We start from the raw sequence: 26,533 nt of genomic DNA, 5'->3' as shown, positions 1-26,533 counted from the left end.
ATTTGTACTTTAAGAATAATGTTCGTTATGGTAAATATAACCCAATTTAAACCTAGTGGAAAAAATGTCTCCTAAAAAGAATTATAAATTCTTTTTTTTTTTTGAGATGGAGTTTCACTCTTGTTCCTCAGGCTGGAGTGCAATGACGCAATCTCACCTTACCACAACCTCCGCCTCCCGGGTTCAAGCAATTCTCCTGCCTCAGCCGCCCGAGTAGCTGGGATTACAGGCATGTGCCACCACGCCCGGCTCATTTGTATTTTTAGTAGAGATGGGGTTTCTCCATGTTGGTCAGACTGGTCTTGAACTCCTGACTTCCTGTGATCCGCCCGCCTCGGCCTCCCAAAGTGCTGGGATTTTAGGCGTGAGCCACCGTGCCCGGCCAACAATTATAAATTCTTAACTAGTTGGATCACTTCTACCTTCTACTGGCATTGATGGAATGAATCTAATAGCCCCTTTACAAGAACTCCAAACCCTGTGATTTTGCAGAGGCCAAATTAAGAGACGGTTAAATTGGATATGAATGAGTGGTACAGTCTTTGTTAGGAGTGAATCAGTTTTGGCCTTAAGACACAACATTTCATATTCAATTCATGTCTGGAAAAAGAAGTTCTAATTCTAACAACTGGAAATGAAATAATGAGTACAGTCTCACAGGTGTATCTGGCTGCAAAGAGAGATGTATATGAATGGCATCACAGCTCTAACCCTGTCCTGGAAGGATGTGAGCAAGGTAGGCTATAGTCTGGCAACCCTTAGCCTTTGATGGTATCTTAGTCTGTTTGTGTTGTTATAAAGGAATACCTGAGGCTGTGTAATTTATAAAGAAAAGAAGCTCATTTGGCTCGCCCTTTTTCAGCTGTACAAGAAGCAAGGCTTCAGTATCTGCATCTGGTGAGGGCTTTAGTCCGCTTCCACTCATGGTGGAAGGTGAAGGGGAGGTGGCCTGCAGAGATCACAGGGCAGGAGGTGAGAATCAGGAGAGCTGTGCCAGGCTCTTTTTAACAACTGGCTCTTGATGGAACTCTCAAGAACTCATTCGTTACTACAAGGATGGCACCAAGCCATTCATGCATGAAGGAGCTACCTCCATGACCCAAACACCTCCCGCCAGGCCCCACCTCCAACACAGATCAAATTCCTACATGAAATTTGATGGGTCCAAACACAAGCCATATCCAAACCACAGCAGATGTGAGGTCAGGTGGAAAGGGAGCCTGACATAGCTGATATGGCCTATCATAGGCTTTGCTGCAGGCCACAATCCCCAGCCCTGATCATAAGACTTCCTGGCATCGTCAGCACAGCACATTGTTTAAGGTTAGAGGCACACATCCGGGGTTCAACCCTCCATCACCTCTGTGTAATTGCAACACGTTATTCTGTCTCTCTAAATCGCAGTTCCTTCTTTTGTGGTTGATTAAAACAGCTTTTCTGGGAGGATTAAATGTGATGATATGTGTAAAATGTCTGACACATAACAGTAAGAAATATTTGCTATATTAATATTATTAATTATTAATAATAATTAATATTAATACTAATATTATTAATTATTAATAATAATTAATATTAATATTAATTAATAATTATTAATATTATTAATAGTAATATTATCATAATCATCAACAACTATTTATTTTACTTATCTTGAAACGAAATGAAAAGTTATTTGCGCACTATATAAAAAATTCCTGCATGAATTCAAAGTATCGCTGGTGATGAATTATTTTTCTTTCTCAAATTAAAACTTTTTCAAAACACCAGTGAGAAGGTAGACAATCTCTAAAAGCTTGAAATCTTAAGTTTTATTTTTGACATGTCTCAGGCCTGTTTATTTTTCTGTTTTTGTGCATATGACCATTAGAGTATTGGAAAAAGGATTAGATAGCCTAAAAATAATAGAGGTTTTATAAATCCACTTTGCCAGAGAATTACTTTCTGAGGCAACTGGCCTTTCCAAAATAAATTTGCGAACTGTATCCTTATTTAAAAAAATAAAAACCTGGCAAGGCAAAAGAATTTAGGCCATATCAGCTATGTCATTCTAAATTTTAAAATATTTAGTCTTTCTGTAAGATAAATAGGAACAATTGAATTTAAGCAACCAAGAAAAATAAACATACAACTCCTTGAAAACATACAAATAACTAGATGGTTTTAAAAAATGTTATCAGAAAAATGTCTTCACTACTAACAAGCTCTAAATTGAACAGTGGCCATAGATTATGCTCGTATCTGTGCAATGGTTGCACTGCCAGGGGACTGGCCAGTCTCAGGGTAGATGAGGCTTAGCATTTGAAAGCATTTTGGAGCGGAGGATGGAGGAATCCCAGCTGTCTGCTAACAAAAACCTGGTAGGTCTTGGGCAAAGTAGTCAAGAGTATGTGCTTTGGGACCATCGGGAAGGCTCCGAAAGAAGGTAAGATTTGAACTGAGCCTTAAAGGATGTTTGGATGAGATCATACTATCTCTTATCCAGGTGCAGTAATTTTCTTTTCTTCCTCCTCTCCCACCCCTCGCATGGCACTAGTTTCCACCTGTTTAGAGGCATACAGTTAGCAAACCATGGAAAATTATGGGAGACTGGGGATCATAGAAAAATTTACTTTATGAACAGCATTGATGGGAGTGAGTAGTGCAAAACCAGTACTGAGTGGGAGACTGAGACCAATAATGATTTCATGAGGTGACCCTGTCTTTTCCAGGTTGCCTAATGGGCTAGTGATTGATTAAGTATACAGCTTTGGGGTGAGACGTGAATTCCAGTCCCTCCACGATCAATATGCTACCTATGGCACTAGGGCCACCTGCGTGCTGCTGTTTGAGAGCATCTTTTACATTTGTAAAATAAGCACATGATCTGATTGTTATGAAATTAGGTGATATAATTATAATCATTATTATATTTTAGTTTGTACTTTGCCAAGTACAAACAGGTAACTTTGTTTATGTGCTAATATTTACGTTGCATCTAGTTTCCCAGTGAACTCAGCTAAAATCACAGGTGCCACAGAACTGTGTCCTATGATAGCCTATTAAATCTAGGACATTTTTTCAAGTCAGGAATATTAAAAAAAATCTCAGTAACCTCTAATACCAGAATTTAATTGGGTAATCACTTTAAGGAATATCTGGAGTTGGCTTGCTTATAAATAATGCGTTGCTTTTAAGGACATATTTCTTTTAAGTTTGAATCAACTTCCCATTATCCAGTTTTTTTCATATTCAGATTTATTCCCCATAAAAGCATTAGTAAGTGCATATGAAAACCATAGTGTAATAATTTAAATGATTGTTATGAAAGGATATTTGTGATAACAAACATTTTTTAAAACTCCAGTTTCTAATAATTTCCTGTTTTCTTAAAACTCATAATATTTTTGAGTGGCAATAATAAATCCCTAATCCTTGTTCTCATCACAAGTAACGACATCAAGTAGGAATCATCATATACAAGACAAAATGTTTAAAACTTTGGGGTACAATCAGAGTGGCAAAAATTAATATTCAAAAATAAAAATCTCACTCCCTTGGCTGTTTTGAATTATATTTTTCCCACCGATTATATAAATAGGAAAGAGCTGAGTGGATGTTTCTGATATCCTACAAACGTAATTAGTTAACTTAAGATCTGCTTCCCTTAGATCTGTAGATATCCTGATCTAGAAATCAGAACTTAATTCAAAGTGAGAAGAGCAAGACGATGGTTTATTGCGTTTTTTTGTTTTGTTTTTTTAATGTCTACGGTGGTTGTTGTTGTAGTTGCTGTTATTTGCATTGACAAACATGAAATTCTTCTGGTAAATGGTTCGGTTCTCTGACCTCGAAGCTGAGTGCATGACACAGGCTGGGCCAATCATATTACCTCATTCCCTGAGCCACAGTGACTCGTGCAGAGACGAGCATGCGGCCCAAGCTGGGCCAATCAGAATTGTTCCCTGGAGTTTGTTATACTGCAAGTATTAGGGAAAACAATTCTTCCTTCCTGGGTTGGTAAGCATGTGACCTCAGTCTTCAGGGTATGCAGTAAAGGATTAACTTTGCCCTGGAGAGGTTTGGCCCTTTTGCTCCCAGCTGCAGGGCTGTAATTTCTAAGCCCTTGGAATGTTCTGCCTGTAGGAGTGTCTTTGTTTACTGGAGGTCTTGAGCAATACCAGATAGTCTGTGCTTACAATGTAACTTTTGGTGGGGGGGCCTTTGGACATGTGGTACCACTCAAGCTCCAGAGGGGTTAGAGACTAAGGGTAGTCACATGGGTGAACAGAATGTCCGAATGGCCAACTCCCAGTAAAAACTCTGGACAACAAAGCTTGGGTGAGTTTCCCTGGTTGGTAATATTCGGTGTGCATTGCTATATATTCTTGCTGAGAGAAATATATCATGTTTGCATTATCTGCTGAGAGAGAACTGAAACTCCATGCCTGGTATGTCCTAGACCCGACCCTATGCACCTCCTCTCTGTATCCTTTCACTGCAATAAATCGTAACCATGAGAGTAGGGGCTTTTCTGAGTTCTGTGAGTCCTACTAATAAATTGTTAAACCTGAGGGTGGATTTGGGGACTTCCTGAGCATTTTGTAGAGCATCTATTTTCTTCTTAATTTTACTTTGACTTCCGGGATACATGTGCGGAACGTGCAGGTTTGTTACGTAGGGATATGTGTGCCGTGGTGGTTTGCTGCACCCATCAACCCATCACCTAGGTTTTAAGCCCCGCATGCGTTAGCTGTTTATCCTGAGAGCGTCTATTTTCTGCACTACTAGAGGAAGGCTGAGAGAGTGGAGCAAAGATGAGAGTAGGATGGATGAATGGAAGGAGAAAGAGAGAGAGGAAGAGAGAGAGAGAGGGAGAAAGAAAAAGAAAGAGTAACATCATGCATCTGGCTCTAATCCTTGAGCCTCCTGAGGGTGCATTATTTTCTTAGCTATTGCTTTGAATCTTTCCATTTCCTGAATATACTTCCAATAATTCTCTGTCACTCCTTCAGATAGTTTACATTGCATTTCTGAAAAGCCTTTAATTGTATCATTTTAAAATTTCAGTTATATTTAGTTAAAACATATCATTTTTTACCCTTAGAGAAGTGAGTGTGATTAAAGTAAAATCAGGATCAAATAAAGCCTTGTAAATATTTTTGGAACTCTCAATAAAGTTATTGAAAAATGTATTCATGTGAAGTGAATTAATCTAGAAATGTGGATGTCAACCTGACAGGCCATTTTAATCCCTGAGTTATTTCTGAAATGCTGTTAGAATAAGAGATTTGGAAACAGAAGTTAGTATAGGTCTGCTGGGTTTATAATTTTTGTAAGAATTTTCTAATATATAATTTTCTATATCTTGAGCTCTCAGAATAATATTACTTTTGTTAGGCAAGAGATAGAACTCCATTACTCTAAAGGACTAAAGCTAAACTCTTGCAACGCTGCTCAAAGAGATTATTTAAGCCCGAAGAGATTGTTTTATAGAAAATTTTACATTATTCTACTACTAAATCCCAAATATTAGCCCACAGAAGAAAGTTGGCAAGAATATCCTCTATAAACTCTGTAAACATTTAGACAATTGCATTATCAACATTTATCATTCTATTGATGAAAAATGGACCACACTTATTACATGCCTGATGCCAGCATGCGAATTGCAATTGGATTTCCATTACTGTGTCAGAATTCCTTGGGCTTTTTGGAAACAAAAAGGAACTTTCTTAATTTGATAAAGTATCTACAAATACTTAAAACAAAAAATCATATTTGATACTGATGTGTAAGGAACATTTCCTATAAAGTGAAGAATAAGACAATGAATTCCATTCCTTTATTACTCTTTCTAGGTCCTAGACAGTGCAATACACAAAAGAAATATGAGCTATAATTATTGGAATGAAGAAACTGTCATGATTACAGGTAGTATAATTTTTAATACAAATTTTCAATGAATTTTGGAAATTTGACACATACAACGTTGATATATAAGTACCAATACATGTACTTGATTGTGTCCCTAAATATCACCGTGGCCAATTAGAAAATGTATTCTTTAAAGGATTCTATGCCCAATAAGCACCAGGTGTCAATGAGTAAATGTAAGAAATGGATGCCCCGTATGAAGAATATTGTACAACAGTGTCAAAGGACACAAAACGACATATACATGGATATTTTATTTTATTTTGTTTTTGAGATGGAGTCCCATTCTGTCACCCAGGCTGGAGTGCAGTGGGGCAGCCTCAGCTCAGTGCAACCTCCGCTTCCTGGGTTCAAGTGATTCTCTTGCCTCAGCCTCCCGAGTAGCTGGGATTACAGGCACACACCACCATGCTCGGCTAATTTTTTTGTATTTTTAGTAGAGACGGGGATTACAGCCAAGAGTCACTGCACCTGGCCTTAGATATTTTATATATGGGAAGATTTATTTTCCTAAATAGATCAATTATCCCAAAAGTAATCTAAAACTTTAATTAAAACTCCAACAGATTTTTTTCTTCACAGAGCTAGTCAGTTCATGTGGAACTAGTTAATTCATCTGGAAGAATCAAGAACCCCAAATAGCTCAAAATAGTGATTTTGAAGAGGGAGAGTAAAGAAAAAGCACATGCGCAGTTAGAGACTGAATGATGTTAAAGTGATCATATTCAAGACAGTGTGCTGGTGGTACACTGGTAGAGAAATAAAGATCCCAGGAACAGACCTACATAGATATGAGAATGGAAAAGAAATAGTCTTACAGACCAGTGGGGGGAAATGGGCTTTCCATACAAAAAAAGTAGATATAGATATCATATATATATATATATGTTTATATATATATATGTTTATATATATTTTACATATATATGTTTATATATATTTTACATATATATGTTTATATATATTTTACATACATATGTTTATATATATTTTACATATATATGTTTATATATATTTTTTACATATATATGTTTATATATATATTTTACATATATATATAAAATGAACTTCAGATACTAACATTTGGAAGCAATCCTTTAACATTCTTAGACAGAAAAGGAAGAGAATATGTTTATGGCATTATGATAGGAAATAATTTTTAAACATATAAAAAGTGCAAATCATAAGTCTATTAATACATTTGATTAAATCAAATTCGATCTATTCTATTAAAATTCTTTTCTTTGGTTGCATATACCCTAAAATATTTTTAAAATCCTACATCCTGGATAACATATTTTAATACTTACAAAAGAGTTCATATTCTGAACATAGAAGTTCTACATGTTTATCAAAGACAAATAGTCAAAGAGAAAAATGAGCAGAGGTTAGGAAAGACCAGTCACAAAAGAGGAAACTTGAATCAACAATAAATGTTTGAAAAAAAATTCATCCCTCTTTCATACTTTGATATTAGGGAAATACAAATTAAAAGGATGAAGACAGAGTGTTTCCAACCCATCAGAATGGCAAAAAAAAAAAAAAAGCAAACAACAACAAAAAAATCCGATAACACCAAATAACACCAAATATTGGGGAAAATGTGAGGAAAATGGAGCTTCATACACTACTGTAAGGGCTGTAAATTAGAACAAACACTCTGGAGAATGACTTTGACTCCGTAATATGTAACAAAGCAGAAGATGTTCATCCACTATCACCAGCAATTGTACTTCCTTACTGTATTAGTCTGTTTTCATGCTGCTGATAAAGATATACCCGGGACTGGGAAGAAAAAGATGTTTAATTGAACTTACAGTTTCACGTGGCTGGGGAGGCCTCAGAATCATGGCGGGAGGTGAAAGGCACATCTTACATGGCGGCAGCAAGAGAAAATGAGGAAGATGCAAAAGTGAAAACCCCTTACAAAACCATCAGATCTTGTGAGGCTTATTTGCTACCACCAGAACAGTATGGGGGAAATCACATACTGACTAAAATTATTCCCACCGCATCCCTCCCACAACATGTGGGAATTATGGGAGTACAATTCAAGATGAGATTTGGGTGGGGACACAGAGCCAAACCATATATCACTTATATGTACCGTAGAGAAAACTATCCCATCATAGCTTATGAGTGAATAACTGGAAACAACCTAAATGTATGTCAATAGAGGAATTAATGAATATGGTATATTCCTGCAAGTAATACTGTGCAGCAGTTAGAATTAATAAGATATGTCTCTCAGTAGTTTATTGGCCTGCCATGGTCTGCATTCTCCCCTCCATCCTTTTACTATTAGTACATTGGCATCCTTTGGAGAATTTGCACTTGTGGTTCCCTCTCCCAGGAAGATTCTTTCCTCAGAGATTGTTCTGGCTCATTTCTGTGCTTTGTTTTGTTTTCTGTTCTTATGTCATCTCCTTGGAAAGCCCTTGTGTGAAAATGCTATAGAACATTGCACCTCCCCCATTCTCATCAACCCATGACCTCCTAAATTTGTTCCCAGGTCTTCTTTTTGCCCTGCAAGATTACAAGCTGCACGGGGGACAGCACTTTGTTTTGTTCAGTAAAGCATCTGAGTGATGCTGGATGTATTTGTTGAAGTGATACATAGACACCTGCACACATTTGAAAGTTTATGTGCTCCCTTCACCTGCTCCTGGTACTCCCCCTCACTTAGACTGCCTTGTAGAAATGGACCCAGGAGATCCTTCTTCCTACTGCACATCTTCTCACAGTACTAGAAAAGCAAGAGGAACGAAGAGCACAAGGGCAGCCTGTGAAAGTCTCCAACCTCCTTACTTCCTCACAGCTTGCTCTCCTGGACCCTTCCACGAGGCTCCAGTGGGTGTGGATGAGTGTTCTATCCAGGACAAGGATTGTGTCTAGCTGGGGAGCACTGGAGGTTCCCTTCTCTGTGAGATGCCTGGCTAATGATACTTCAGCACCGCAAAATAAAAAGCCTGTGCTCAGATCCCAGTGAATTTATCTGCCTCTTCTTGGACTTTTTGCAATATCATTTATGTTGGAAAAGATGATTTAAAGCCACCATCTAGCATAATGTTTACCTCCCAAGGGTTGGAAATGGAGGGTTGTTAAGTCCTCCAGACAAGGTGATGTTCAACTGCTGCTCTTCTGGGAGGGGATGTCATTTAGTGGACTGCACGGTGCTGATGTAAACTGCATCCTGGGAGCCCAAAAGCCTTCAGTACCTCTCTACTGACCTGGGGTTTACCTTGTCTTCTCTGGGATAGGCTGGAAATTTGATCTTCTCACTTCCTTAAATTATATAGCTAAATTTTTCTTGAATTACTTGTGTTAGTGGAAAGACTACAGGCTTTGGAATCAGGTAGAACTGGGTTTGAATCATGGCCACATTACTTCCTAGCCACTCGACCTTGGGCAGGTTATTTAATTTCCCTTGATCCTCTCTTTCTTCCCCTAAGTTAGAGGGGTCATAATATGTCTTCTGTCTTTGGGTTTGGGTGTTGATACAATGAAATAGTAGATGAAAAGCACCATACTGCTCTAATGCGGATAGACAAAAAGCATATACTCTGGCCTGGCTTAAATCCTACCTCTCTCTGTGGGGGTATTAATAATAAGTTTCCTTGTTGTTGTTTTTGAGACAGGGTCTCACTCTGTTGCCCGGGCTGGAGTGTAGTGGCACAATCAAAGCTCACTGCAGCCTTGACCTCCCAGGCTCAAGTGATCCTCCTGCCTCAGCCTCCTAAATAACAAGGACTATAGGCATGCACCACCATGCAAGGCTAATTTTTTATTATTTTGTAGAGACTGGGATCTCCCTATGGCACCCAGGCTGGACTTGAACTCCTGGGCTAAAGTGATCCTCTGGCCTCAGCCTCCCAAAGTTCTGAGATTACAGGCCGGAGCCGCCTTGACCAGCAATAATTATTTTTGGTACAAATCACACATGACTACATTTTACTGAATTTCTTTTTTTTCCCACTAGCCTGGCACTGTGAGTACTTTGTCTTTCCCCATTTAGCTTAGTGGGGCAAAGAAAGTAACCAGTGATGGTAATAATGGATACTGCTCACGTCTTCATGGAAATCCCCTTGTAACCAAATAACTTCCTTCCAGCCGCATGTGTGAGCTAAATTTACTGAGTAAAAGAAGAACTAAGAATGAAGCAAGATGGGAGGAGATTCTGCCTTTGGATATTGAAAATCTTGACCTGGAAGAGTCTGAAACAAAAATTCAGCATTTAACTCTTCATTTTGAGAGAATTTACCCTGGCCGGCATTCAGAATCATATTGATATACTTCTACTAAACATCAACACATCTGAAGACCCCTAATCCAAAATGATCACCTAATGTAAATGAAAGACACCAGACAAAGCTTACTTCATTTTGATAAATAAGGACACCCTCAGTCATTAAAGGTTAATTTGAAATTGAAAAAGAAAAGCCTTTCCCCACCTCCCCGTGTTTCAGAGTCTGTACGAAGAATGATCATGTTTACTGTGTTCTTTAACTGGTTGTGTTCTCTTTTTACGTGAAATCTTCTCTGCTTGCTCTTCTGCCAGCCAGTGCAGTGAGGCAAGGGAAACACACACAGGCTTAGGGGAGCTGGACCTGGGTTCAAGTCATGACCCTGACACTTAATAGATGTGTGACACCACCTACCTTCACTCATGTCGCAGCTTAGGAAACTGAGGCCCAGAGAAGTTAATACTGGTCTTGGGAAAGTCTTCAAGGGATGGCCGGGCACGGTGGCTCATGCCTGTAATCCCAGCACTTTGGAAGGCTGAGGTGGGCAGATCACGAGGTCAGGAGTTCAAGACCAGCCTGACCAACATGGTGAAACCCCGTCTCTACTAAAAATACAAAAATTAGCTGGGAGTGGTGGCTGGCGCCAGTAATCTCAGCTACTCAGGAGGCTGAGGCAGGAGAATTGCTTGAACAGGAGGTGGAGGTTGTGGTGAGTGTTGTGAGCCAAGATTGCGCCACTGCATTCCAGCCTGGGCAACAGAGCAAGACTCCATCTCAAAGAAAAAAAAAAGTCTACAGGGTATTAAACCAGATAATAGATAATGTCTATAAAAGGTCTTGGTTGTAAGAGACTCCAAATAAATAGCTGCTGCTATTATTATTACTGCTCTTATCTACTCTTCTTCTTTCAGAAAACAATTGTGGAGGGTGTCACTCTCTGCCTCTCTAAATATTAAGAAGCTAAGCAATGTAAACAGTCTAGTTCTAATACACTGTGCCGAGAACTGTGGATGCGCCAGAAATTAGAGATTTTAGTAATTTATTGTTTTTAAGTGTTCTTGCGGGGTACATCAACATAGCTTTAGCTTGGTAAACAGGTTGGTTAACTTGTTTAACTCCCCAATCTTTATTCGTGGTTACTGCCATCCCTTGGACTTCTGACTTCAACTTGCTGTTTTCCACTTTCATACTTTTATATAGAAAATGTTCTCCTTTTGGCCAGGCACGGTGGCTCATGCCTGTAATCCCAGCACTTTGGGAGGCCAAGGCAGGCGAATCACCTGAGGTCGGGAGGTCGAGACCAGCCTGACTAACATGGAGAAACCCCGTCTCTACTAAAAATACAAAATGAGCCAGGCGTGGTGGCACATGCCTGTAATCCCAGCTACTAGGGAGGCTGAGGCAGGATAATCGCTTGAATCTGGGAGGCAGAGGTTGCGGTGAGCCGAGATTGCGCCATTGCACTCCAGCCTGGGCAACAAGAGTGAAACTCCGTCCCCCCCAAAAAAAAAAAAAAGAAAAAGGAAATGTCCTCCTTTTTCAGGCAGTTCAGGTTCTTTATCTACAGATACTGAAATCTAATCTTCTGAAGATAGTTTTCCGTGATGTAATCATTGTTCCTGTACAGTGGTTGTCAACTGGGGGTGGTTTTGCCTTGTAGGGGACATTTTTGGTTGTCACAAAGGAGAGAGGGCATTGCTTATGGCATCTCATGGGTGGAGGCTAGAGAAACTGCCAAGCATCCTGCAGTGCATAGGACAGCCCCCCAACAAAGAATCATCCATCTTCCAACTTTAGTAGTGTGGCGGTCGAGAAGTCCCCAGCTAGAGTGACCCCAGACTTTTTCAAGCAACCTCAGACATTTTGGGGAATGAAAAAAAACCACTCTTAACAATTAATCGGAGACAGCAAGTGTAAACTGGGACTATTACTGGCACACAGGGATTTATGGCCCGTGTCTTGAGTTCCTTTTCTTTTGCATTGCTGAGATATTGCCCCAAAGCATATTATTAATTTGCCTTCTTGACTTGCTTATAGCTGTTCTCACCAATTAGACTCTTACGTAGCCCAAACCAGGCGGTGTGGCTTCTGCAACCTCCCCTTCTCCTTCTAGTGCCGTATACAGAGCGCCTACTTGATAAATCTTCTTGATTGACTGTGCTTATTTATAATCTCTGTTCACAACTGGGTCCTTGACAAAACCTACTATAAACTTTTCAACCATCAATTATATGATACATCAAAAAATGTGGGTGAAATGATGGAGAAGAATTCAACAAGTACCATTGCTCATGATGTAGAGAAGATTCTACCTCTTATGATGTATAATTTGATGAAATATACTAAGCAAGGTACAATCCCCTTAATTGGTACTCATTTAAATTACTCATGTTTACTGTAAATGTTCTTCTGCACAAGATGTGTTTCTATTGAATTAGATAAAATTTTATTGTTGAAAGAGTGGTTTATACGTGTGAAATCAACAAAAATATATCAAGTTCTCCAAATTCTGCCCAGGATATGATAGATGCACAATACGTATTAGTTCCTTTTGCCTCCCCATTACATAGGACACTTTAAACATAATTTTAAGCCATTTAATTTGGTTTCATATGTTTTTGAAATATTGATCTGAGGGGATATTAAAGTTACTGAGTGGCTAAAATTGGTTGGTATGCTAGGGTTCTCACATAAGCAAGTACCACAGCCTGGATGGCTTCAACAACAGAAATTTATTGTTTTGCAGTTCTGGAGGATATAAGTCAACATTTAAGGTGTCGACAGGGCTGGTTCCTTCTGATGGCTGTGAGGAAGGGATCCTCTCCAGACCTCTGTCCTTGACTTGAAGATGGTGGCTTTCTCCCTACATCTCTTTATATCATCAATGCATGCATATCTCTGTTTCTAAATTTCCCCTTTTTAAGAAAACAGCAATCATATTGGATTAGGGTCCACGTTGGTGAACTTATTTTAAATTGATTACCTCTGCCAAGAGCCTATCTCCAAATAAACTCTCATAACTGGGGGGTTAGAAATTCAACATGTGAATTTTGGGGGAACACAGTTCAACCCATAACAATTGGTAGTTAACAAATTGCCATAAACAGATTATAAGCTGAATTAAAATTTTGTAGAGAGAATAATTCTACCATACCTTACTATATATAAAGAGAAAGTTGTGGAGTCACTACCATGTGGAATATAAATGATGAACTTGTGTTACCGTAAGCCACTGGAAAGTACATCATTGTCGTCGATCTTTAAAAACATTATAAAGAACTTTCCAGAGAAAATTACATGGATCAAAAATGTCAACATCTTTCTTCTGAGCATGTGAACTCAAAATACTTTGCCATTTAATTTATTTTTTCCCTCCCCAAATCTCTTGAGATGAATAAAGGACACGCTTTAGGTGACAAAATACAGAGGTGCAAAAAAACGCAAGATCATTTGTTCCACACCATCTTCATTTTCCATAGGCAGGAAAACATTTGTCCTCTGTGCTTGCTTTATTGGAGGCATGTCTGCCTGACTGGTTAGAGCATGAATAAGATTATGGGATTCCACGTTTGTTGATCTTTAAGTGAATTGTATTCATGAAATAATCGGGGCGGAGGTGGGTCTTGAGGGAAGCCCAAGCATCTACCAGTCTGGGACTTGAGCCAAGTGAGAGCTTTGGCTTTTTTTCAGTGTGAAAGACTAGATAGCTGCCGCCGTCTGCCTGCTATCTCAGGATGGGAGGTGGAAATTTAAAAAATATATAAATTTATATTTATATGTATTATATGAAATATAAAGTATTTCATATCTATTTGTCTGTCTGAAAAGAACGTTGGACAGGGAACTGGGTTCCAGTCCTCATCCTGCCACAAAACTTACTAAGTGATTTTAGGCAGGTCCCTTCACCTACTGGAACTGCTTTCTCAGCTGCACATTCAAAGTTTTAGCCTGGGTGCCCGGCAAGGTCCCCCAAAACCTGAGAATTTCATGAGGGAGAGTGTTCCAAGTGTTCAAAGTGATTTTCATGTGGTTAACGCTAAGGATACATTGGCCCTCAAAGAACCTTCATTCTGTAACCTTGTCCCTAACATACTTAGTTACCTCTGTAAGACTTGTTTGGGGTGGGGCCGGGGGAGGGCAGGGAAGTGTCAGGGTTTTTAAAACAAAAGGAAGAGTTCTCCTCCGGCCTCCTGCAGACCTCCTCACCTTGCAGACCAGCTGCCTTTTCTGCCCCCCACCGCCAACCCTGAGTTTCCACTCCTGGAATAGGCATCAGCTCTGCAGAGTTTTTATGCTGTGAACTCAAAATTTCCGGGGCAAAAATCTCTGCACCCAGGATTTGCCCCTTCTGAACAGTTTCACCCATTCTTAAAGGAAGGGAAGTTAAAAAGAGTGGGGTCGAGGCCCGGAGTATTTAAACAGAGGCCTCTTTATCTTCTTCTCCCCTACTACCGCAGGGCAGCCTCCGAAAGTTATCAGAGTGTCATTAACAGGGACAGCTGCTGGTAAACAAGGAGGATGTCGACACCAGCGCCTCCGTCAACAGGAATTTCACTTTAATCTGTCCCTTACTTAAAGAAACACTCCTCTCATTCTCTCTCTCTCCCTCCCTCCACGGTGCATCATTTATTTATCTCCGTCAACTTCCAGATAGAAGACTGGCCTTAACTCCAGAAAGCCCACTGGGATAGAAAATTAATAAGGTGCTAGGGACATCCACCTTAGGTCAATTCGAGGGGACGCGGAGAGAAAGGGAACTCGCTGTGGAGTTCCCTGCTTAGCTGGAAACCGATCCTACATATTTATAAAGGTGAAACTGGAGGGCTGCCAAGCGCCTGCATTTAAGTGATTAACAAACGTTTCTCTTTAAGTGGACACCTCTTGTTCTAAATATATTTGACAAGAATGCAAAGAGTCATCTGGAGGGCAGAGAGGGCGAGCCCGGGCCTCCTCTCGCGAGGCGGACAGGCTGGCAGGCCCGGCTCCCTGCTCGGTGCCAGCCCGGTTCACCGTCGCCGGTGGGCAGGCTGCCAGCGCCAGCGGCTCCCCGCTGTTTAACGACAATGGATTTACTGCTTCTCTGCATATTGGTGTTATTTTGTATAAACAAGGTTAACACTCCTTTTAAATTAAATGCACCACCTGGTGACTGAGTGGGTGACCTTGCCAGCTTTCTTCACCTGGCTCGGGGAAGCCCAGGCTTTCGCTCCGATTTCAACCTGTGGCTCTCCTTGGAATCTCTTTTGCTTCTCACTTAAACAGAGCTCCTGGAGGAGGTTGGCCGGTGACTTGCCCTCTGACCCCGCCGTGGGGGACGAGACCCGATGGAGGTACTAGGGGCCCCTGCGGCTGAGCCCGTGTCCAGGCACCTTCCACGTGGCGCAGGGCGGATCAAGGCTTGCCCGGGGCCAGCGCGGGGCTGCCGCCAGCACGAGAGCCTCGGGGACCGCCCTCCTCCGGCAGCCGGTGTCAGCGGAGAGTGACAGACGGTCTGGTGGGCCCTGCCAAGGCAGCCCCTAAATAGAGATCTCCAGAGGGGGCAACACCATAAAAAAGGTTCTTTGTGTTTCACTCTAGCGTGGTATTGCTCTAATATAGAGCTCGGCACTTTCCCCAACCTCTAGGAATTCGAACACCTGGAAAAATTCTCCTGGCTTTACATTGGAGGAAATTTAATGGTGTAAACCAACTCTGCAGGGGGGCCCCCTTTGATTTGAGAAAGCAGTGATCTGCGGTGCAGTGCTGAGCCGAAGGGGCTTGGAAACGACTTTGCCTGAGAATGTCCATTCCTCAAACACTTTAAGGATGGCTTCGAGTTGTTTAGAAAAATTTAGGCAGACAGCACCGTCTTGGAAGCATCTAGAAACTTCGAGAGAAATAAACTTCAGTTACTCGTTTAATTACAGGCATCAGCTTGCCAGTTCCCTGCTAACTGTCCATTTCCGAATAGGGCAGAATTTTTCAGGGGTCTTTGCTGTGCTACTACAGCTTTATGAATTGTAGACCGGTTTGTCAGCCTTATTTTAGCTCGGCAAATAAGGAAATCATACCTGGGAAAGTGAAGTGACTTCCCCAAGGTCACCTGACCCAGAAGCCAAGACTCCAGGCTTGTAAGTTCCATGATGTTGATGCCCTTATTGTTTCCCTGTGGAGTCCTGCTACCCAGAAAGTAAGCTGTGAGCTGTAAGTATAGAGAGTTTTACTCTTAGCAGCATAGAAATAGCTGGGTCAATAGCTTCTGCTTAAATAGTTTCTTAGTAGCTCAAATTGGGATAATAGAAATGTCTCTTTAAATAGGCAAAGTCATTCCAGTAAGTGATATAATTTTACTTGCTAGAATCCTAATAATTTTATTAAAAATAAGATATGGAATGTGGATTTATTAATACCTTTCAATATTTGAGGTAAAATGTGACCTTCTTTCCCAAAATCTCTCTAATGAGTACATTTTGTGTGTGTGGTGGGGGGAAGAAACCAAAAACAACCTAACATGAATAAGATGCATTGTCTATGCACAATGAGTGTTGTGGCCTGTTTCTAAAGACATTCAATATTTAGTGTGGACATCAGGGTGCCAGGTTTTGAGGACACAAAGATAAGACACAATCAGGATCTAGATTAATTAAGGTCCAAGGAAATTAGTGTGTACATAAAGAACCACTGTGGGTACAGAAAGTTCAGTGCAGGAGGCATCTAACTCCGGGTGTCCAAGCTGACTTCGCAGAGCAAATAGTGCTGTACCCTAGGCAATTCCATTTGTGTTATTGTGGAACAAGTCACAACAGACATTCAACTTGGCTTATACAGTGATTCCTGTTTGCTAGGTGTTGTCCTAAATGCCTGGCATAATCCTCATAACAACCTTCTGACGCAAGAAATGTTATCAGCTCTACTTTACAAATGGGGAAACTGAGGTATGGAGAAATTAGGTAACCTGGTCAAGGCATCACAAGGAGGAAATTCACATCCAAGCAGGCTGCTGCCCCTCTGTGGTTCCGTGTTCATTGTCTTGGTATTACCATACACAGGCATTACTTTCCTCCCTTCAAACACCCTGCCTTCTAGGTACTAACTATCCCAATAGAAGATAAACTTTTAACTTTTAAAAATTATCTATTGCCAGACATTGTTATGGACTTTACATACAATGATCTTACTATCTTTTTCCCCCTAACCCTGAGAAGAGATAGATATTATTTCCTCATGTTATAGATAACAAGACTGCCACAAAGCTCAGCAGCTGCAGCAGCGACTTTCTTTTTATCTTCTTAAATAACTTCATTGAAACTAAATTCTTAGAGGTATCCGATTTTCTAGGGTGGTAATTATTTCAAATATTCTTTTCTATTGTACGACCCAATTCCCAGGGTTTTTGTTTGGAAGTAGAAGGCACAGAGGCTGTCGTGGAAAACACACAGCAAACAAGACAGCTCCACAAAAAAATGAACATCTTTACCCAAGGGGGGTTTGCAGAAATTGCAACAGGGATTAATTATTGAGAACTGAGGTTGTCAGGAATGCAAGCGGTAATTTCTAGCTCATCTAACCCTGCAGTAGGATTTCCTTAGAGCAAATAGGTTTCTTTTACCTTTGGAAGGTAATATAATATATAGTAACATAGTATGATATTATATGTTAATATAATTATATATTATATAATACTAAAGAAGATTGGGAAAACTATGAAGAAGGGAATAAAAAATTATCGAAAATTTCATTACTGCAAATATTTTTGACATTATTCCTTCCAGCCTTTTTTATTAATACACATAAATTTTGTTAAGGAAAAAAGTGTATAAATACACACATGATTAGGATAACTGTCATGCAGATTTGAATGCTACTCTTAACTTGATAAACATTTTTTCACTCTCAAATATTCTTTAAATTTTTCATTTATCGTCTTTACATAATTTTATTATAAGTATTTATTATAGTTTTCCATAACCCAGATTAATAATTCCCCTATTCCTGGACCTATAGGTTATTTTCAGTTGCTGCTATTATAAATAATCTTGCATATATATTTTGGCTGCCTAAAAGGTTTTCCCCTGCTTCAGTGGAATCCTTAGAAGTAGAGTTATTGGATCAGAAAGCATTCATTTTTGTTGTTTCATCAGAAATGTGAACATACATAGCATGAGTGCGTTTGGAGGAGATAGGATAGGAATGGAAATTTGAAGTATTTAGAAATTTTGTTGGTCTGTTGTTTCACTTCTGTAAAAAATAACATACAATACAGGTATATTTATATACCTGCATATTTACTTTTTTTTGACAAAAACAGACAATTATGTTACCTTATCTTCTGTATTCCACTCTGAGACTTCCATTGTATTTTATGTTGCTGCCTCTAGGGCTGGATTTCTGCTTGTTGGGTGTTAACAGGAAAACAAACAAACAAACAAACAAAAAATATATGGTGGGGATGCTGGAATTTAGCATACCTACCATGGTTTGGAATTACCCTAAGGGAGTCTAGAAATTCCAGTTTGTCAAGTATCCAGTCTTGTTTTTTAAGAACACAGACTAGGAAAAGCAGAAGATCACTCTACAAAACTTTTACAAGAGTTTGTCAAGTCTGGGGTAGTAAGAGCAAATGTATAAGGGTACGTGGTTCCCTTAGGACCAAAAAGAGGTGTGAATTTGTAAGGCATCTAACTTTCTCTTGCTTGAATGAATTTGCGTCACTATCTTAAATTGAAGTATTGTTTAACTGTGTTCAATTCAACTTCTTCCAGAAGGAGAGGAAAAGGCCCAACACCTGCCTGTCAGGGCTCCTGGATCACGCCCTGCTGCCTGCTGACCTATATTGGACTCGAGCCCTTCTTCTGGCATGCTCACCTGTTAACCCACCTATCAGCCCACACCTCTGACTGCTGGCTGCTCCCCATTGAGCCTGAAATACTGTGCTATCTGCCTGTACCCTTTTGCATAAGCTGGGGTTGGGTTATCTCAGATTTCTATTTGGGTCAAGATTGCCACATACCTCACCTCTTCTGTTCTGGTCCTCATCCTGTGTTCCTGGACAAAAATAACATTTGAGTAGAAAGCTTTTCTACTTGTTGACATAGTTGAACAGATTTTGCTTTATTGAGATGAAATGGAGCCTAAATTTATCTGGAAATGTGTGGAATCAGTAGAGAGAAGTAAACACAACTCGAAGAAAGCGGGAAACCCCTGTGTACAATTCAGCTTTTTCACTCCCAGGGAGTTGGGCATGATTGTAAAGAATGATGTTTTCAAGCCTGCCAATAACAGAACACGTCTGTATCCATTGTGGATGGGCTTCTTTGAGAAAGCTTCCTTTTCGCCCAAGTAGAGGAGCTCTTCACTGCCCTAAGATTCTGCTTTCCTACTCCCATGTCAGAGCAGGAAAAGGTGAATATTTTTCACACAGAATAGCCTCATCCATTCCCACGGGGAGTGAGATAGTTCCTGTAGGGTGCTAGTGATGGCATAAAATTACAGCTCACTAGAGAAACAGTTGCGAGTAAAGAAATATATACATTTCCTCTATTTGTGTTCCCTGTCTGTGTTGTCTAAGTTGCAAACAACAGACTCCACTTCAGCTAGGTTAAAGGGAAAAGAGGTTTAATAAAGAAAATTAAATAGCTTATAGCATCACTGGGGAACTAGAGAAACAGATTTAAGGCTAAGCTTCCAGAAACATATCCCAAAACATGCCCCCAAACCGTGACACTGACATGAAGAGACAGTTGTCATTGCTGCTTTATTGAACAGAGGACTGAGAATTTTTCTACAGTCACTGCTGTTCTCTGCACTGATGGAAGCCAAGCCTGCCTGGAGAACTCAACTTTGCAACCCAAAGCTGGTGGCTAATGTGGCTACCCCTACCAACAAAATGGAAACTCCACCAGGTGTCTGAATCCAGCTCTCACGGTATGTATCCTGCAGGTGGCACGTTGGGAAGATGCAAGGGAGGCTGGGAATTTGAGTCCCGATTTCCAGATTGTGACTGTGGGTCACAGTGAAGATTAGCTTTGCTTTCAAGCATACGCATCAATCCAGCAGGAAGATGTCTTCCCAATTCTAGACATGAACCTGCAACCTAGTAAAGTGGTTAAGAATATGAGCTTCAGAATTAATCAGTCATGGATTTATGTTTTCTCAGAGTGATTGTGAGCCGGTCACTTTCCCTCTCTTTCTTTCTCAACTGAGCCTCAGCTTCCTTCTTTGTAAAATACAGATAATATTTCCGTAGAGGTGGTATGTGACACAAATTTAAACAAGCATGTATGGAAAATCCTCAGCATAGTGTTTTTATAATGTAGTGAGCATTCAGTGTATGGTGGCTCTCATTCCAGTTACTAGTAATAAGAGCTGAAAGTTTATGGTCTAAAAGAGAAAAAAAATACTTATGACCAAAACTCATAATGCTAATAATAATAAGAAGAATCCTACTAATAACAAACCAGCCTTGAACCAAGCCACCCAAGTTCATCTTAACATTTCTTATAAGAAATTTCAGTTCATGCAAGGGATTTATATGGCAATAGCTGAACAATGGGAAAGTTTGAGGTCGATGCTTCCTCAACTGTTTCCAAAATAAACAGTTACAGGAAGCTCACTACCCTGTGCATTAAAGCGCAGGGGGAATAAGGAGGGGGCTCTGTTACTTTAAGCTCACTACAGGAGACGTGGGAGCAGATCAATATGTGGTTAAGTGTTTTAGCTGCACTTTTATTACGTTTGACAGCGATGACAACATAGCATGCACTGAATAAAATGACTAACGCACACATTTCTCCCGCATGCATACTGCTTCTATTTTTCGAACCTCCTGAGTGAAAGGCAGTCATACAAAAAGCATGCAGAGTGGGAGTTCCAAGTGGCTAGGGCCAGAATTGCCCACGGATTCCAGATTTCCAGAGTCACAGAGGGGAACCTGACTACCCGAAGCAGAAAGAACAAAAAGGGCTGCATGAACATGAACATGTTAACTACTGAACAGTAGTTAACAGTCGGATGAACTGAGAAAGGCATGCTTACGTACATAGCTACATTTCTTTCTCCTCAAGCCTTATCTCTTTCCCATAATGTGGGCAGTGCTGATGAGTGAAAAAATACACAAGCCCGTCTAAGTACACTGTAGATTTACACAGCACAGGGCTGAACTTAAAAACAACAACAACAAAACGCTGTTATTTGAGTAACTTTTCAAAATCCTATTTAGATGCCACCCGTTTCTACCTTTTCACTGACACCCAGATGTTTTCACTTGGATTTGAGGCCCCAGCAGGCAGCATCCAGATGTTTTGAGGGGGCAGAGGAAGTTCTTTCATTTGTGGCAAATTTGAGAAGTGAAGATTCATTGACTCATGTAATATTAATCTTCCTACATAAGGAAATTGGAGCCAAGCTGTTTGCCCACTTTCTCAGTTATGTGTGGGGTCACTGAACTGGGGTGGGGCAGTGGGGAACCCCTTTGGCTGGGATTTTGTGCAGATGGCACTGAATTCCAAAATACTTACCACGTTTTCTCATTAGCCCTATGCAATTCTTTTTATTCACTTCAAGACCATTTAGTGGAGCAGGAAGAAACTGCAGGCCTTTTGGAGGTATTTCCTTGTGATTCTGGTCCAATCCACCACCACCGTCTCACGCTTAGAACCCTGCAATCCTTCGTAAGTATTTGTTCTGGAATCCTGTTACTCTGTTACTAAAACCACTCCTATTTCTCACCTTGCTCAAGCTTCTCATCTCACTTAGAAAAAGGAATTTTTACAAACAAATCTTTCCATTAGCATCATAATGTTTTTCATGTTTGGCTCTGACTCAGTTTCCTTTCACTTTCTGGGAGCCTTTCCTCACCCTCCTACCTCGCTCACTCTGCTGTGGCCCTACCACCTTTCTGTTACTCAAACTCGCTTTTCACCCTCCTGCTTGGATGAATGAGCAGAGTCATTGCTTGTAGTGTCCCCTTTGTCCAAAATGTTCTTCCCTGGATATTCCCTGGGCCTGCCACATTCCACGCAGGTTTCTGTCCAGGGCTTAACTGTTTTTTGTTTGTTTGTTTGTTTGTTTGTTTTTGAGATGGAGTCTTGCTCTGTTGCCCAGGCCAGAGTGCAGTGGCGCAATCTCGGCTCACTGCAAGCTCCGCCTCCCGGGTTCACGCCATTCTCCTGCCTCGGCCTCCCGAGTAGCTGGGACTACAGGCGCCCACCACCACACCCAGCTAATTTTTTGTATTTTTTTTTAGTAAAGACGGGGTTTCACCATGTTAGCCAGGATGGTCTTGATCTCCTGACCTCGTGATCCACTCGCCTCGGCCTCCCAAAGTGCTGGGATTACAGGTGTGAGCCACTGCGCCCAGCCACCAAGGCTTAACTCTTGAGCCCAGACCCACACCTAGCACGAGCTGGGCACTGAATCAGCAAAGACTTGGAACGCGTGAACACAGTTATTGTTGTTCTTTGTGTTTGCATGTGGTGAAAGATTGGCTCATACTATATGAAAATCACTGAGATTTTTTTTTTCTCAAATATCTGTTTTCTCGAAGATTTAGGTGAGGAGTAAAGTGAGCAAGCTATTTGTAAAAGTTTTCAGAGCAAACATTCCATGATCAAAACAGGATCAAGGATTTTGCCTTTTTGTGGCTTCTTTGGAAGGAATAAGTGTAGGTCCTCAGGCCACTTCATTAAAAAAATGATTAATAGACATACTACATCTCTGTTTTCTGAAGTGATACTTTAGTGTACTTTAATTTGTTTAAGAGCTGAGCTTACAAGGAAGTATGAGACCATTTCTGTTCCTACCCTCCCAGCTCCAATTATCTGCCTTTCTGTGTTTGGGGTGACATTAGATGCATAGGACTCTACCCTGGAAATTTCCCATTAAAATATTGTTTTTCAAACCCATAGGTATAATTTGACCTCTTTTGGATGTTTAAATTGAAAATATGTGAAGAACTTAAGTCCCTTTATTTTTACCCTCTTCTGTTATTGGAGTCTTCTGCTGTTTGTACTTTATGATTCTACTTCATGGCTTCTTCTAGGCCAGTTCCCCATTGCTCTGCTTCACTGGGGTGACCGAGACCTTAAAATAAATTCTCAATCAACATGTGTAAACCAAATGAATGATTATTTGGACCCCAATTCTATAGCATAATAGTCTAAACTTGCTAACTTGGGAGGCCAAGGTGGGCAGATCACTTGAGGTAAGGAGTTCAAGACCAGCCTGGCCATTGGAGACATGGTGAAAACTGCCTCTACTAAAAATACAATAATAATAATAATTAGCTGGGCGTGGTGGCGCATGCCTCTAATCCCAGCTACTCGGGAGGTTGAGACAGGAGAATTGCCTGAACCTGGGAGGCGGAGGTTGCAGTGAGCAGAGATTGTGCCATTGCACTCCAGCCTGGGCGACAGAGCAAGCCTTCGTCTAAAATAAAATAAAATAAACTTGCTAACTTCCAGACCTAAATCTAGAGAACAGGAATGCATTGCTTTAATATTATTCAGAATTTCTTAAAAGTTGCTAGGGCATGTTTTAGAAGAAAGTGATTGTTTTCATATGTGATGAGATAACAAAGGTGATAGAGTGAATATATTTCCAAAAATGAACGTTTATTTCCAATTTTCCAATTCTGTTTGTCAAAAAGGTTTCTCTCTCAACAAGATTATTATTTCCATGTAGAAAAAAGAGCAGGGATTTGTTAAAAACTGTATGTAATACTCTAAACAACCTCGGGGTAACCAAGTATTAGTTGCGGATAAACTTACTGATCATGGCACAAGTGTTGACCTAAATCACCTCTGACTATGTTAAAGCTGAAGGAGGGCATTTTGGAAGTGCAACTGGGTCTGCAGTCCTTGACACAGAAACACACTGACTCAACACCTTCTGACGCTGGAGACTTATGCTTGACAATTGCCCTTCAAGGATAAGAAAAATCCCAGCAAGGCACCGTCCTTGGTTTCAATGATGCCCAGAGAAAAGAAAAAGAAAAAAGAATATAAATCTGATTTCTTTTCCATTGAAGCAGTTTTAATGCTTCCAGTGAAACACAGAAAATAAAGATTTGTAATTGGGAGTTCAAGGCCATCCATAGCTTCTCTCCTGAGCTTCGTCTCTACATGTAGATTTCTTGAGTTCTAGCATTCCAATGGTACCATGTTTACATCTTTTTATTTTGGGACCTTGATGGAATAAATGGAGCTATGTAGTCTACCAGAGTATGACAGATAATGGATAGCTCGTCATTTAAAACAATCTTTTTTGCCGCTAATAATTATACTAGAATTTTAAATATGCTACCTCTTCCACCAGATGGTCTTGAATAATGCTTCCATCTACTTAATTGTGCTTTTTGTAAATCAGTTGCATAAAATCTTTTGATGCAGTTTCAAAGATCCCTTTTGTAGAAGCACGGAGATCATGTAATTGGCTGAGAACAACTATCCAGTCTGAGAGGATGACCTTTTACCCTCTACCCAAAAAGAGCACTCCAGAGAGAAAGGTGCCGTAATCTGGGTTTAAGGCTTCTTACCATCATGTGGAGAGCCTGTTTCCTGTGCCACACACACAGTGGCAAGAAAGCTCAGCTTCAACATTAATGTAGAACTTCCCACGTTGCTCTTGAGAAAATCCACTCCTTAAAGAGGAAGAAAGGACCTCACCCCATGCCTCCCTCCCTCGGTGGAGATGCCCACACATGGGCACTCGGAACCAGTTGCAGGCAACTGTGAATTGGGAGGAAGGAAAGAAGAGATTAGGACTGAAAGAGGTGAGTATGTTCAAGTCTGTTTCTAGTGTAGAGATAGCGAGATGGTCACCCGTTAATTCATTTGCAAGGCTGAGAGTAATGCTGAATCCTGGCTTAGGACACCAGTAGATGACTTCCCAACAAATAAGTGGACAAAAAGATGACACCACCACCTGAAGGAACTTTTAAAGCAATGAATGAAGCACCTTGAAAAGTTAGATTTTGGTTAAGAGACACATCCCCAAAGTTAAATGAAAAGGTAGAACCTGGCTTTGCAAAACTGATGAAAAATGGCCATGTATGCTACAAAGTAAGACCCTTTTTTTGACATTTTTTTTTTTCCATGAGAGTCAACAGGGGAAAGTTTGGCTAATGTTTTCTATCACTAAAGACTTAAAAAATAACTGGAAACATTCCCATAGGCTTTGTTTGTTTGTTTTTAAGAGGCTTGTTTCTCGTTTTTCCATGCAAATTAAAATTCCTAGTGTGGCTTCTATAAATTTGAACTTTTGAAAACTTTCCCTTAGCATTTGGCTCAAAGTGTAGCTGGCACTTCCGTGTGACAACAGAGAAATTTCAGTTCTGCTTTTCTTCAGAGCTGCGTGTTATGGGTTAGATAAGTAAACTTGGCTTTCTCTGTTCTAACGACAGTGTGTCCAGGGAAGCTGGAAGAAGAATGGCTCCAGGGTTCCTGTCGATGCCAGATTTCACCAGCGCTACCCTGCTTTTATCAGTTTTCCATATAGAGCTTTCATAAAGGTTTTCTTTTTCTGTTTTTTAAATTGTGGTAAAATACATATAACATAAAATTTACCATCCGTGACACTAACTGCATTTACCATGTTGTGATGCAACCATCACCACGAGAACATTTTCACCACCCCAAAAGGAAACCCCAAACCCATTAAGCAGTTACTCTTCATTTTCCCTCTTCCACCAGCCCGTGGCAACCACTAATCTGCTTTCTGTCTGTGTGGATTTGCCAACTCTACTTTTTATGTTTCATATAAATGGAATTATGCCATATACATAACCTTCTATGTCTCACTGCTTCTACTTACAATAAATGTTTTCAATCGAAGTTCATTCACCTTGTAGCATGTATCAAAATTTCATTCCTTTTTATGGTTGAATAGTATTCCATTCCATGAATATGTCACATGTTAAAAAATTCCTTCATGAGTTGATGAACATCTGAGTTGTTTTCATTATTTTGCTACTGTGAATAGTGCTAACATGAGCATTTTTGTGAATGTTTTTATTTGAACACCAGTTTCCAGTTCCTTGGGGAATATACCCAGGAGTGGAGTTCCTAGGTCATATGGAAATTCTCTACTGGGCTCATTGAGGAGCCATCAAATTGCTTTCCATGGTGGCTGGACCATTTCACGTTCCTGCTAGCAGTTTCCTAGGGTTCCAATTTCTCCACATCCCTTCCAACACTTGCTATTGTCCATTATTTTGGTAGTTATCTAAGTGTGTGTGAAGTATCTCACTGTGGTTTTGATTTGCATTTCCCTAATGGTTAATGGTATTAAGCATCTCTTTATGTGCTCATTGGTCATTTGTACGATCTGTGTTAAAGTTTTCTTTTTGAGAAAGTGTTTTTCAGTTTCAAAAACATAGATTGTAAATTACATTTAGA

The 26,533-nt window shown here is 40.2% G+C and overlaps 2 long non-coding RNA genes across 3 annotated transcripts in view; one reads left to right on the top strand and one right to left on the bottom strand.

Annotated features, from left to right (window-relative positions):
• LOC112268156 (uncharacterized) overlaps positions 1 to 26,533 on the bottom strand; it is a 236,909-nt gene that overhangs the window by 158,747 nt on the left and 51,629 nt on the right. The gene's annotated exons all lie outside the window — the stretch shown is intronic.
• LOC105370998 (uncharacterized) lies at positions 15,221 to 25,974 on the top strand. 2 transcript variants are annotated; one of them, XR_001751688.2, is made up of 4 exons: positions 15,221 to 16,343; positions 18,902 to 20,063; positions 21,702 to 21,808; positions 24,527 to 25,974. It is a non-coding gene; the product is annotated as an uncharacterized LOC105370998 (long non-coding RNA). The 2 variants fall into 2 exon arrangements; XR_001751687.2 differs by having other exon boundaries at positions 23,954 to 25,974.

Source organism: Homo sapiens, chromosome 15 (genome assembly GCF_000001405.40).
Source record: "Homo sapiens chromosome 15, GRCh38.p14 Primary Assembly".
Taxonomy (NCBI): Eukaryota; Metazoa; Chordata; class Mammalia; order Primates; family Hominidae; genus Homo; species Homo sapiens.
The sequence above is the reverse complement of the archived record's forward strand: the minus strand, read 5'-3'. Positions and strand labels throughout refer to the sequence as shown.